The sequence below is a fragment of the Homo sapiens genome, chromosome 19, assembly GCF_000001405.40.
Source record: "Homo sapiens chromosome 19, GRCh38.p14 Primary Assembly".
Classification (NCBI taxonomy): domain Eukaryota; kingdom Metazoa; phylum Chordata; class Mammalia; order Primates; family Hominidae; genus Homo; species Homo sapiens.
The window spans coordinates 20,832,618-20,845,028 of record NC_000019.10 but is presented as its reverse complement, the minus strand read 5'-3'; the positions used below and the strand labels follow the sequence as shown (position 1 = coordinate 20,845,028).

The window sequence follows — 12,411 nt, the reverse complement described above, 5'->3', positions numbered from 1 at the left end:
GGCTGTGGGTTTGTCATAGATAACTCTTATTATTTTGAGATAGGACCCATCAATACCTAATTTATTGAGAGTTTTTAGTATGAAATGTTGTTGAATTTTGTTGAAGGCCTTTTCTGCATCTATTGAGATAATCATGTGGTTTTTGTCTTTGGTTCTGTTTATGTGCTAGATTACATTTATTGATTTTCATATGTTGAACCAGCCTTGCATCCCAGGGATGAAGCCCACTTGATCATGGTGGATAAGCTTTTTGATGTGTTGCTGGATTCGGTTTGCCAGTATTTTATTGAGGATTTTTGCATCAATGTTCATCAAGGATATTGGTCTAAAATTCTCTTTTTTTGTTGTGTCTCTGCTAGGCTTTGGTATCAGGATGATGCTGGCCTCACAAAATGAGTTAGGGAGGATTCCCTCTTTTTCTACTGATTAGAATAATTTTAGATGTAATGGTATCAGCTTCTCCTTGTACCTCTCATAGAATTCGGCTGTGAATCCATCTGGTCCTGGAATTTTTTGGTTGGTAAGCTGTTAATTATTGCCTCAATTTCAGAGCCTGTTATTGGTCTATTCAGAGATTCAACTTCTTCCTGGTTTAGTCTTGAGAGAGTGTATGTGTTGAGGAATTTATCCATTTCTTCTAGATTTTCTAGTTTATTTGCTTAGAGGTGTTTATGGTATTCTCTGATGGTGGTTTGTATTTCTATGGGATTGGTGGTGATATCCCCTTTATCATTTTTTATTTCATCTATTTGATTTTTCTCTCTTTTCTTCTTTATTGGTCGTGCTAGTGGTCTATCACTTTTGTTGATCTTTTCAAAAAACCAGCTCCTGGATTCATTAATTTTTTGAAGGGGTTTTTGTGTCTCTATTTCCTTCAGTTCTGCTCTGATCTTAGATATTTCTTGCCTTCTGCTAGCTTTTGAAAGTGTTTGCTCTTGCTTCTCTAGTTCTTTTAATTGTGATGTTAGGGTGTCAATTTTAGATCTTTCCTGCTTTCTCTTGTGGGCATTTAGTGCTATAAATTTCCCTCTACACACTGCTTTGAATGTGTCCCAGAGATTCTAGTATGTTATGTCTTTGTTCTCATGGGTTTCAAAGAACATCTTTATTTCTGCCTTCATTTCGTTATTTACCCAGTAGTCATTCAGGAGCAGGTTGTTCAGTTTCCATGTAGTTTTGCAGTTTTGAGTGAGTTTCTTAATCCTGAGTTCTAGTTTGATTGCACTGTGGTCTGAGAGACAGTTTGTTATAATTTCTGTTCTTTTACATTGCTGAGGAGTGCTTTACTTCCAACTATATGGTCAATTTTGGAATAGGTGTGGTGTGGTGCTGAAAAGAATGTGTATTCTATTGATGTGGGGTGGGGAGTTCCGTAGATGTCTATTAGGTCCACTTGGTGCAGAGCTGAGTTGAATTCCTGGATATCCTTCTTAACTTTCTGTCTCATTGATCTGTCTAATGTTGACAGTGGGGTGTTAAAGTCTCCCATTATTATTGTGTGGGAGTCTAAGTCTCTTTATAGGTCACTAAGGACTTTGCTTTATGAATCTGGGTGCTCCTGTATTGGGTGCATATATATTTAGGATAGTTAGCTCTTCTTGTTGAATTGATCCCTTTACCATTATGTAATGGCTTTCTTTGTCTCTTTTGATCTTTGTTGGTTTTAAATCTGTTTTATCGGAAACTAGGATTGCAACCCCCGCCTTTTTTTGCTGTCCATTTGCTTGGTAGATCTTCCTACATCCCTTTATTTTGAGTCTATGTGTGTCTCTGCACATGAGATGGGTTTCCTGAATACAGCACACTGATGGGTCTTGACTTTTTATCCAATTTGCCAGTCTGTGCCTTTTAAATGGAGTATTTAGCCCATTTACATTTAAGGTTAGTATTGTTATGTGTGAATTCGATCCTGTCATTATGATGTTAGCCAGTTATTTTGCTCGTTAGTTGATGCAGTTTCTTCCCAGTCTTGATGGTCTTTACAATTTGGCATGTTTTTGCATTGGCTGGTACCAGTTGTTCCTTTCCATGTTTAGTGTTTCTTTCAGGAGATCTTTTAGGGCAGGCCTGGTGGTGACAAAATCTCTCAGCATTTGCTTGTCTGTAAAGTATTTTATTTCTCCTTCACTTATGAAGGTTAATTTGGCTGGATATGAAATTCTGGGTTGAAAATTCTTTTCTTTAAGAATGTTGAACATTGGCCCCCACTCTCTTCTGGCCTGTAGAGTTTCTGCCAAGAGATCAGCTGTTAGTCTGATGGGTTTCCCTTTGTGGGTAACCTGACCTTTCTCTCTGGCTGCCCTTAACATTTTTTCCTTCATTTCAACTTTGGTGAATCTGACAGTTATGTGTCTTGGAGTTGCTCTTCTCAAGGAGTGTCTTTATGGTGTTCTCTGTATTTCCTGAATTTGAATGTTGGCCTGCCTTGCTAGGTTGGGGAAGTTCTCCTGAATAATATCCTGCAGAGTGCTTTCCAACTTGTTTCCATTCTCCCCGTCACTTTCAGGTACACCAATCAGATGTAGATTTGGTCTTTTCACATAGTCCCATATTTCTTGTAGTCTTTGTTCATTTCTTTTTATTCTTTTTTCTCTTAACTTCTCTTCATGCTTCATTTCATTCATTTCATCTTCCATCACTGATACCCTTTCTTCCAGTTGATTGCATTGGTTAATGAGGCTTGTGCCTTCGTCACGTAGTTCTCATGCTATGGTTTTCAGCTTCATCAGGTCCTTTAAGGACTTCTCTGCATTGATTATTCCAGTTATCCATTCATCTAATTTTTTTTCAAAGTTCTTAACTTCTTTGCCATGGGTTCAAACTTCCTCCTTTAGCTCGGAGTGGTTTGATCTTCTGAAGCCTTCCTCTCCCATTTAGTCAAAGTCATTCTCCATCCAGCTTTGTTCTGTTGCTGGTTAGGAGCTGCGTTCCTTTGGAGGAGGAGAGGTGCTCTGATATTTAGAGTTTCCATTTTTTCTGCTCTGTTTTCTCCCCATCTTTGTGTTTTTATCTACCTTTGGTCTTTGATGATGGTGACGTACCGATGGGTTTTTGGTGTGGATGTCCTTTCTGTTTGTTAGTTTTCCTTCTAACAGTCAGGACCCTCAGATGCAGGTCTGTTGGAGTTTACTGGAGGTCCACTCCAGACCCTGTTTGGCTGGGTGTCAGCAGCGGTGGCTGCACAACAGTGGATATTGGTGAACCACAAATGCTGCTGCCTGATCATTCCTCTGGAAGTTTTGTCTCAGAGGAGTATCCGGCCATGTGAGGTGTCAGTCTGCCTCTACTGGGGGGTGCCTCCCAGTTAGGCTACTCAGGGGTCAGGGACCCACTTGAGGAGGCAGTTTGCCCATTCTCAGATCTCAAGCTGTGTGCTGGGAGAACCACTACTCTCCTCAAAGCTGTGACACAGGGACATTTAAGTCTGCAGAAGTTATTGCTGTCTTTTGTTTGTCTGTGACCTGCCCCCAGAGGTTGAGCCTACAGAGGTAGGCAGGCCTCCTTGAGCTGTGGTGGGCTCCACCCAGTTCGAGCTTCCAGGCTGCTTTGTTTACCTACTCAAGCCTGAGCAATGGCGGGCACCCCTCCCCCAGCCTCACTGCCGCCTTACAGTTTGATCTCAGACTGCTGTGCTAGCAATGAGTGAGGCTCCGTGGGTGTAGGGCCCTCCAAGCCAGGTGTGGGATATAATCTCCTGGCCTGCCGTTTGTGAAGCCCATTGGAAAAGCACAGTATTAGGGTGGGAGTGACCCAATGTTCCAGGTGCCATCTGTCACCCCTTTCTTTGACTAGGAAAGGGAATTCCCTGACCCCTTGCGCTTCCTGGGTGAGGCAATGCCTCGCCCTGCTTTGGCTCACACAGTGTGTGCTGCACCCACTGTCCAGCACTCCCCTGTGAGATGAACCCGGTACCTCAGTTGGAAATACAGAAATCCGTCTTCTGCGTCGCTCATGCTGGGAGCTGTAGACTGGAGCTGTTCCTATTCGGCCATCTTGGCTCCACCCCCTATTCTCAGTTTGAGTTCTTCTTAAAATACTTATGATAGTCAAGGGTCTCCGAAAAATATTTATTTCCTATATTCCAGAACTTTCTCTACATTTTCTATGTCGTAGCTTCTTATATGCCATGCAGAATTCTCAGCAAGAATTTATGATCTGAAATGTAGGATACAGTAAATATCTCTTTAAAGGTTTCAGCTTAACTTCCTTTAAAATCCAAGAGAGGAAAATCGTTAAGTACAATGAGTTCTGAAGTCCTCTTCAAAGAACCAATATTTCAGTATTATCAGCTTCCCTGTTCTTTGTTCTCCATTTTAATGTTTAAATTCCTCAATCTTTATGTCTCCTTGCCCCTAGTTTCAGTAAGCAACCCCCTTCTAACTCACATATTTAGGGTCCTTACTCATCCCCAGTCACCTAATCTGTTCTGAGTCACCCCTAGTCACCTGCTGTGAATCATCCCTAGTTACCTGCTCTATTCTGAGTCACCCCCAGTCAAATGCCTTGTGACCATCCTTCCTGCTGAAACTACTCACCTCGCCACCCTTGCTCTCTTTAAAATAGCTAATTGGAATTAGCTAAGACTGTGCGGTCTAACCCTAGCCAATAGGAGAAAGACACATCACTAAGGACTAGCGGTGTAAGGGATAAGACCCCCTTCCCCTCCCTTGTCCAATTGTGCTCTTGCTATTTCTCCACCTGTGAGATGCAGCCTTGTATAGAAGTAAATTTGCCTTGCTTCAACGTTCTCGATTTGAGTGCTCACTTACTCTGAAACTCTGAGCAGTTGTTTCCAATATGCAATATTAAAAATGTTCCCTTTATGGCTGTTGAACATGAGAAGGTGTGGATACTCAAGATTTCTCTTGGGAAAAACTGTGGTCCTTAGTAAAGATGGAAAACATGTAATGTTGAGGCTCCATCTGTGTGTTCCATTAGCTCTATGCAGAGCAGGATTAAGAAAATGCTTGTGGCCAGATGCAGTGGCACACTCCTGTAATCCCGATACTTTGAGAGGCTGGTGGACCACGAGGTCAGGAGATTGAGACCATCCTGGCTAACATGGTGCAACCCCATCTGTACTAAAAATTCAAAAAAAAAAAAAAAATGAGCCAGGCATGGTGGTACAAGCCTGTAGTAACAGAATTCGGGAGGCTGAGGCAGGAGAATCACTTGAGCCCAGTAGGTGGATGTTGCCCTCAAAAATGTACATGTTCATGTTCAATCCCTTAATTTTATACTTCGTTACCTAGAAAAATATCATATATGTAATGATGTTGTGGATCTTACGCTGCTCCTCTTTCTCAGAGTTAAAGAATACATTAGAGCATATTTCTGTGTTGAAAATTATTTTATTGGATAATTTTAGTCAGTCCTATAAGTAAGAACCAGTTCTCTTTACTTTCCAATTTCACCTTAAGTCAAAATAACAACTCCGCCCACGGCCACTTGGTAAAAATATGTGTGTGTGTGTGTGTGTGTGTGTGTGTGTGTTTCAGGGGCCATTGCAATTTAGAGATGTGGCCATAGAATTCTCTCTGAAGGAGTGTCATTGTCTGGATACTGCACAGTGAAATTTATATAGGGATATGATGTTAGAGAACTACAGAAACCTTGTCTTTCTTGGTGAGGATAACCTTAATACATAATTCGTAACATACCCTGAAGGTTTTATTTATCTTTTCTTGTGGAGTGTTTTTTAGTAATTTATTCTTTGCATCAAAGAGTTTCAGAATGCTTTTTTCCCAGAAAATCTTCAGAATTTTTTCATTTAGAAAAGAATTTCTTCAAGATATTTCATCTTAATCCAAACTTTCCACATTCCTGAGTTGAGCTGTATTCTTCACTCTAAATTTGTGGTAATTCCCGAAATTTTGGCATAAAATATGGTTGCTCCCACCTGAAAATCTAACTGCCAGCACCAAGTTTTGATTCAGTAGTATCAGGTAGTAAAATTTAAAAACCTACGTGCAGGACCTGGCACAGTGGCTCACGCCTATAATCCCAACACTTTGTGAGGCTGAGGCAGGAAGATCACCTGAGGTCAGGAGTTCGAGACCAGCCCGACCAACATGGAGAAACTCCATCTCTACTAAAAATACAAAATTAGCCAGGCATGGTGGCACACACGTGAAATCCCAGCTACTCCAGAGGCTGAGGCTGGATAATTGGTAGAACCCGGGAGGCAGAGGTTTCACTGAGCCGAGATCGCACCATTGCACTTCAGCCTGCGCAACAAGAGCCAAACTCGGTCTCAAAAAAATAAAAAAAATTAAAAAATAAAGAAAAAGAAACCTACAGTTTGAAAGTATTTTCTAAATATTTAGAAATTTCTGTTATAAGTTAGTATTTTGGTATTAATTTACCAGAATATTGTATTACATCCTCTCTGCTGAGCACATTACTAGCTTGTAATTGGAGAATATGAGAAAGATTCATGTTATTTATTTTTAATAAAACAGTTATTGTTGTCTCTAAGCCAGACCTGATCACCTGTCTGGAATAAGAAAAAAAACTATGAAGAGACATGAGATGATTGCCAAACACCAAGGTGGGTGCGAGTGAAAACGAATGCAACAGATGGCACAGATAAGAGATCCCAAGGTTAAAGAGAAAGCCAGTCCTTAAAATGTGTTTTGGGAAGCTGTGTTCCAAAGGAAATAGTCCTGGGCAGCTGTTTTTGTTTTTGTTTTAATTTTTCTCTCACAAAGTGACACTTCTGTCATATGCTTTTAAATTCTTTAAGAATTCTTCTTTTCTTTCAGTGAGCTCCCTTCAAGTTCACAGTGAGAGCCAAAGTCCACTTCACAGCATATAAGAGGCTGCATAATCTGGCTTCTTTTCCAGTGTTTTGGGGACACAAATATCTGATTTTTTTTGAGAAACTAAAACTATTCTCAAAGTTCTCTTTTTGCATAGGTCTGAAATGTGTGAGAGTAGTAGTTTCTGTTGAATTTTTCTTGCTCAGTCTTCTGCACAGTCCATTCTGTTTTTATTACTATATAATCTTGAAATAGACTTCAAAAGTATAAGTTTTGCTTATACTTCTGCTCTGTTCTTTTCATCAAGATTGCTTTGGCAATTCAAAGCTTATTATAGTTTCATGTAAATTTCAGAATTGTATTTTTCATTACTGTCAAAAAGATACCATTGCAATTTTAATGGGAAGTTTATTGAATCTATAGATCACTTTGAATAATATGGCACTTTAATAATATTTATACTTTCAATCCATAGACATAAAATATTTTAAAATTTATTTATAACTTTTCTAATTTTTTCATTTTTTTAGTAAAGATTTTTTACTTCCTTGGTTAATTTTTTTCTCAGAAATTTATTATTTAATGCTATAGTAAATAAGATTTTTTTCTTCCTCTATTTTATCAGATAGTTTAAGTGTATAAAACCGTACATATGCTTGTATGTTAGTTTTATATTTTGCTAATTTACTGAGTGTATGTATTAGTTTAGACAGCTTCGAATGTACTCTTTATGGGTTTTTAAATATAAGATTATATGATCTACAAGCAGCAATTTTTTATTTATTTTTCCTCAATTTTAATGGATTTTTAAAATTTCTTTGACTAATTCTTCTGCCACATACTTCCAGTGCTACATTAAAGTAGAAGCATTGACAATGGACAGAATATAGTTTGGTATTTGTGTCTGAATTTGATGGAGCAAACACCACTTTAAATTTTCATAAACTGATTTCAGAAGGTAAAGATCTTTTGTTGGGCCCTTAGGGTGATGAGATGCCCTCTGAATTTGTAGTGAAGAGGGGTTGTAGCTTGGTCACAAGGCTGCTGGGTCTGAACTAGGGTTCACCTTTAGTTGGCTTGTTACAGGGGCTTGGGTAGTTGTAATTCCCATTTCATTTTTGGACAGACTGAATATCCTTCAGGGCTTTGCTCCATAGGGCAAACACTAGGGCAAGTTTTTGCAGTTCGGTCTGCATATGGTGGACCTTGTATCAGGATGTTGATGAGTATGGCTTTCAGTGAGTACCAGAGAGCATTTCCTCAGGTAACTGTGTGGGTTTCTATATAGGGAGAACTGACCATAAACAGTGGCTCGGGTAACTGAAACTGAGTCATTGAACTGCCTCAGTGACCCCAGTAAAGGCCCAGATCTGCAGGCCTGCCTGCATGGATGTAAATGGGCACCTTCCTCCAGGTATCTGGAATAGCAGGACCTCTGCCAGACTGTGGCTGGGAGGAGTTTGGGATGGTTACAGAGTAAGTTTAGAATTCTCAGTGGAACCAAGTTGGGTGAACCCTATCCTGGTCTGTAGCTAAAACAGGAGTCCTGCAGTATCCCACATGAATGAGGGCCTGCCTTCCGAATAGAATCCTTCTCAAACTTAAGCTTTAACATCGTTTCACAACTGCGTCCCTGCATCTCACATCTCTCTTAGAGGCACTTATTTGGGAGATGACATCTTGCTACATAACCCAGGCTGGCCTCAAAATCCTCACCTGAAGCAGTTTTCCAACCTAATGTACCATGAAGCTGTCATTATAGATGTGAGCAATAATGCCCTGTTCTCTCATAAAGGCATTTTTGTCAGGGATGGCTGACTTTTTTTGCTGTAAGGGAATATGAAAATAGGGCACTTTTAATCTTTTTATCTTACTGATGTCACTCTCCTTATACATTTTTACTTTCTATTTTCTATTTCAAATTTTTCTGTAATTTTAGATTCAGATATTTAGGACAATATGCTAGAATTTGCATGGTATGCCTCAAGTAAATTAGATAATTAATAGGCACTCCATATTTACTAAAACATTTACATATAAGTTTAAGTTTGATACAGGCAAAAAGGAATTATAGGATTTTCATCTACTTATTTCAGGCTATATCTAAATAATAACATAGTTTATTTCTTAATATTTGTTTCACATATGAGAGGGCCTAACCATATTCTGCAAAATATATATCTTTTTCTGTACTTAACAACGTAAGGCTATTCTTTCCTTTTAAAGTTGGATTACAGCAGTTTCATTTTGTTTAACAATAGCATATATTTAAAACATAAAAAGCAACTCTAGTTTCTTTAAAATGCTAATTTATTGTTTCTCTTTAGAATCTTCTATTTATAATTATACTGCATATTCTCTGAAATTTTACTGCCACACAATGCATGCCAATGATTTAAAATATTTGTATATGATGAGTACATAGTAACAGCTAAATATTGCAGTTACATAGTTTTTTTTTTTTGTTTTTTTTTTGAGAAGCAATTACACTTTCTCACCCAGGCTGGATTGCCGTCGGGTGATCTTGGCTCACTACAACATTCACCTCCCGGGTTCAAGCAATTCTTGTGCCTCAGCCTCCCAAGTAGCTGGTATTACAGGTATGTGCCACCATGCCCAGCTAATTTTTGTATTTTTAGTAGAGATGTGGTTTTACCACTTTAGCCAGGGTGGTCTTAAACTCTTGACCTCAGGTGATCTGTCCCCCTTGGCCTCCCAAAGTGCTGAGATTATAGGCATGAATCACTACACCCTGCCTGACAAATTTTGTTTGATGATACATCAATGTAGTATACCAGATTTTATGAGCAAACATTTCTCTTATTATTGTTTGAAGTTCTATGTTAGTGAGTTTCTCCGGTGTAGATTTATTTATTACTTTTTTTTTTTTTTTGAGAGGGAGTCTCTCTCCGTCACCCAGGCTAAAGTGCAGTGGCACAGTCTCAGCTCACAGCAACTTCTGCCTTCCGAGTTTAAGCCATTCTTCTGCCTCAGCCTCTTGAGTAGCTGGGACTACAGGCACGCCACCAAGCCCAGCTAATTTTTGTATTATTATTAGAGACAGTGTTTCACCTTATTGGCCAGGCTGGTCTCAAACTCCTGACCTCGTGATACGCCTGCCTCAGCCTCCCAAAGTGCTGGGATTATAGTCATGAGCCACCGAGTCCAGCCTCGGTGTAGGTTTCCCAACATCAGTTTATTGTGTCTATTGGTTATACTTACGTATTATAATTTTAGACAATTTGCAATTCCGTTTGTATATTTAAGTCAATATGAGTTTTATCTAAGAAATAAATTGCGCATGTCTATCACAACCGGATTACATGTGTATGTGTGCTAACCTATAAATATGACCCAAATTTTAGTTATGGCTTATTTCATATTCTCTCAGCTAATTTTCGATGGTAATTTTATCTTGTCTGAGTAGTCATGGAGATAGCCTTATTTTCACCATGTGTTTAATGATTAATATATATTTCTTTTTGTGAGAGAAACACTTTTGTGATTTGAAGTTAATTTCCAAAAAGATTTATAATTCTGGATTTTTTAAAGTTTTTCTCTATAAACATTGTTTTAAAAACACATAACATAATATTTACCATCTTAAATTTATTGATGTGTATACTTCAGGGCCAGGCATGGTTGTGGCTCTCATCTGTAATCCCAAGATTTTGGGAGGCCAAGACAGGAGGATCCCTGGAGCCCAAAAGTTTGAGACCAGCCTGGGAAACATAGGGAGACCCCTCTCTATAAAAAGAAAAAATTAATGATAGCCGTGTATGGTGGTGTGAAGCTGTGGTCCCAGCTACATGGGAGATTGAATTGTGCCACTACACTCCAGCTCGGGTGACCCTGTCTCAAAAAAAAAAAAAAAAAAGCTTTTCATTTCAGGCATGTTAAGTTTATTTACATTGTTATGCAAAAGACTTCTAGAAACTTTACATCTTGCAAAACTAAAACTCAGTACTCATTAAGTAACAACTTCTCATTTTACCCTCTCTCCAGCTTTTGACAAACCTTCCATTTTCTGTTTTTATGATTTTGACTACTTAAGATATCTCACATAAGTGGTACAGTATCCATAATTTTGTTACTAGATTAATTCAGGTGACATAAGATTCTCAATGTTCATCTTAAAATGTAACAAGATTTTTTTGAAGGTGGAATAATATTCTATTGTATGTATAGGTTACATTTTTTGATATGTTTATAAATCAAGAGACATCTGGGTTATTGCTTCGGCCCTTTGGCTTTTGTGAATACTGCTGCAATAAAATGGATTTTCAAATATGCCTCCCATATCCTGTGTTGCTTTTTTTTTTTTTTTTCAGATGGAGTCTTGCTCTGTCGCCTAGGCTGTTGACAGTGGTGAGATCTCAGCTAACTGCAACCTCTGCCTCCTGGTTTCAAGCAATTCTTCTGCTTCAGCCTTTCAAGTAGCTGGGGTTACAAGTTCCCACCATGATGCCCAGCTAATTTTTTGTATTTTTAGTAGAGAAGGGATCAGGTTGGTCTCAAACTCCTGATCTCAGTTGATCTGCCCCCCTTGGACTCCCAAATTGCTAGGATTACAGGCTTGAGCCACTGCACCTGGCCTTTGTTACATATTTTGGATATAGACTTATAAATGAGGAGCATTTGTAACTTTCTAAAATAATGGCTGCATCTTTGTTTTCCACCAACAATTAACATGGGTTTCACTTTTATTGCATCGTCAACAGATTTGATGTTTTTAAAAATATTTGTAGTGGTCCTCCTAATGGGTGTGAGGTGATTTTGTTTGTCAGTGGTTTTTTTTGTTTTTTTGTTTTTTTTTTCATTTCTTTACAAGTTAGTAATTTTTTGTGTCCTTTCAAATGCTTTTTCCCATTTGTGTACTTGTCTAATGAAAAATTTTTTGTCCATTTCTAAATCAAGTTATTCAATTTTATTGTTTAAAGAGTTGTTTATATATTTTGAATATTAACTTCTTTCACATGTGATTTGCAAATGTTTTCACCCGTTTTCTAAGGGATGTTGTTACTCTTGAATTGTTTTTTGGTATGCAGAAATTTTGAAGTCTAGTGTAGTTAAACTTTTCTGTTATTTCATTTGCTGCTCATGCATTTAATTTTGTAGCTAAGAAAATGATGCCAAGACCAATGTCATGTCTTTTTTCCGTAGTTTTTCTAAAAGATTTGTTAGTTTTTTTATGTCCAAGCATTTTATTTAAAATATATTTTAATTCAAGGAAATAATCCAACTTTTTTATCAGTTTTGATATTCAGTTTTCAACATCATTTTTTGAAGAGATTATTTTTCTCTGTTTTGTGCTCATGGCAACGTTGTGGAAGATCATTTGATCATATATAGAAGGGTTCATTTCTGAACTCTATTTTGTTCTTTCATCTGTTAATCTTTGTGTCAATATCACACTGTTTATGTTCTGTAGCTTTTAACTGTAGGTTGGATTGACATCTTTGAAAAATGACATTTTTTGACACAGAGCAAGAATATGTTGAAGAGTGTGTTTCATATTCACATAGTTTTGAATATGCCAGTTTGACTTTTGCTTTTAATTCCTAGTTTCATTCAGTTTTTGTTAGAAAACACGCAATGTATAATTTTAGTCTTCTTAACGTAATTTGTTGTTGTTTTGAGACAACATCTT

The 12,411-nt window shown here is 38.0% G+C and overlaps 1 annotated feature.

The window, feature by feature from the left end:
* Positions 3,774 to 4,973: an enhancer, noted in NCBI's record as "P300/CBP strongly-dependent group 1 enhancer chr19:21022862-21024061 (GRCh37/hg19 assembly coordinates)". NCBI's record gives its function as "activates an origin of replication core promoter dependent on BRD2, BRD4, P300/CBP, MED14 and CDK7 cofactors, with strong dependence on P300/CBP, by STARR-seq in HCT116 cells {active_cell/tissue: HCT116}" and the evidence as "EXISTENCE:reporter gene assay evidence [ECO:0000049][PMID:35650434]".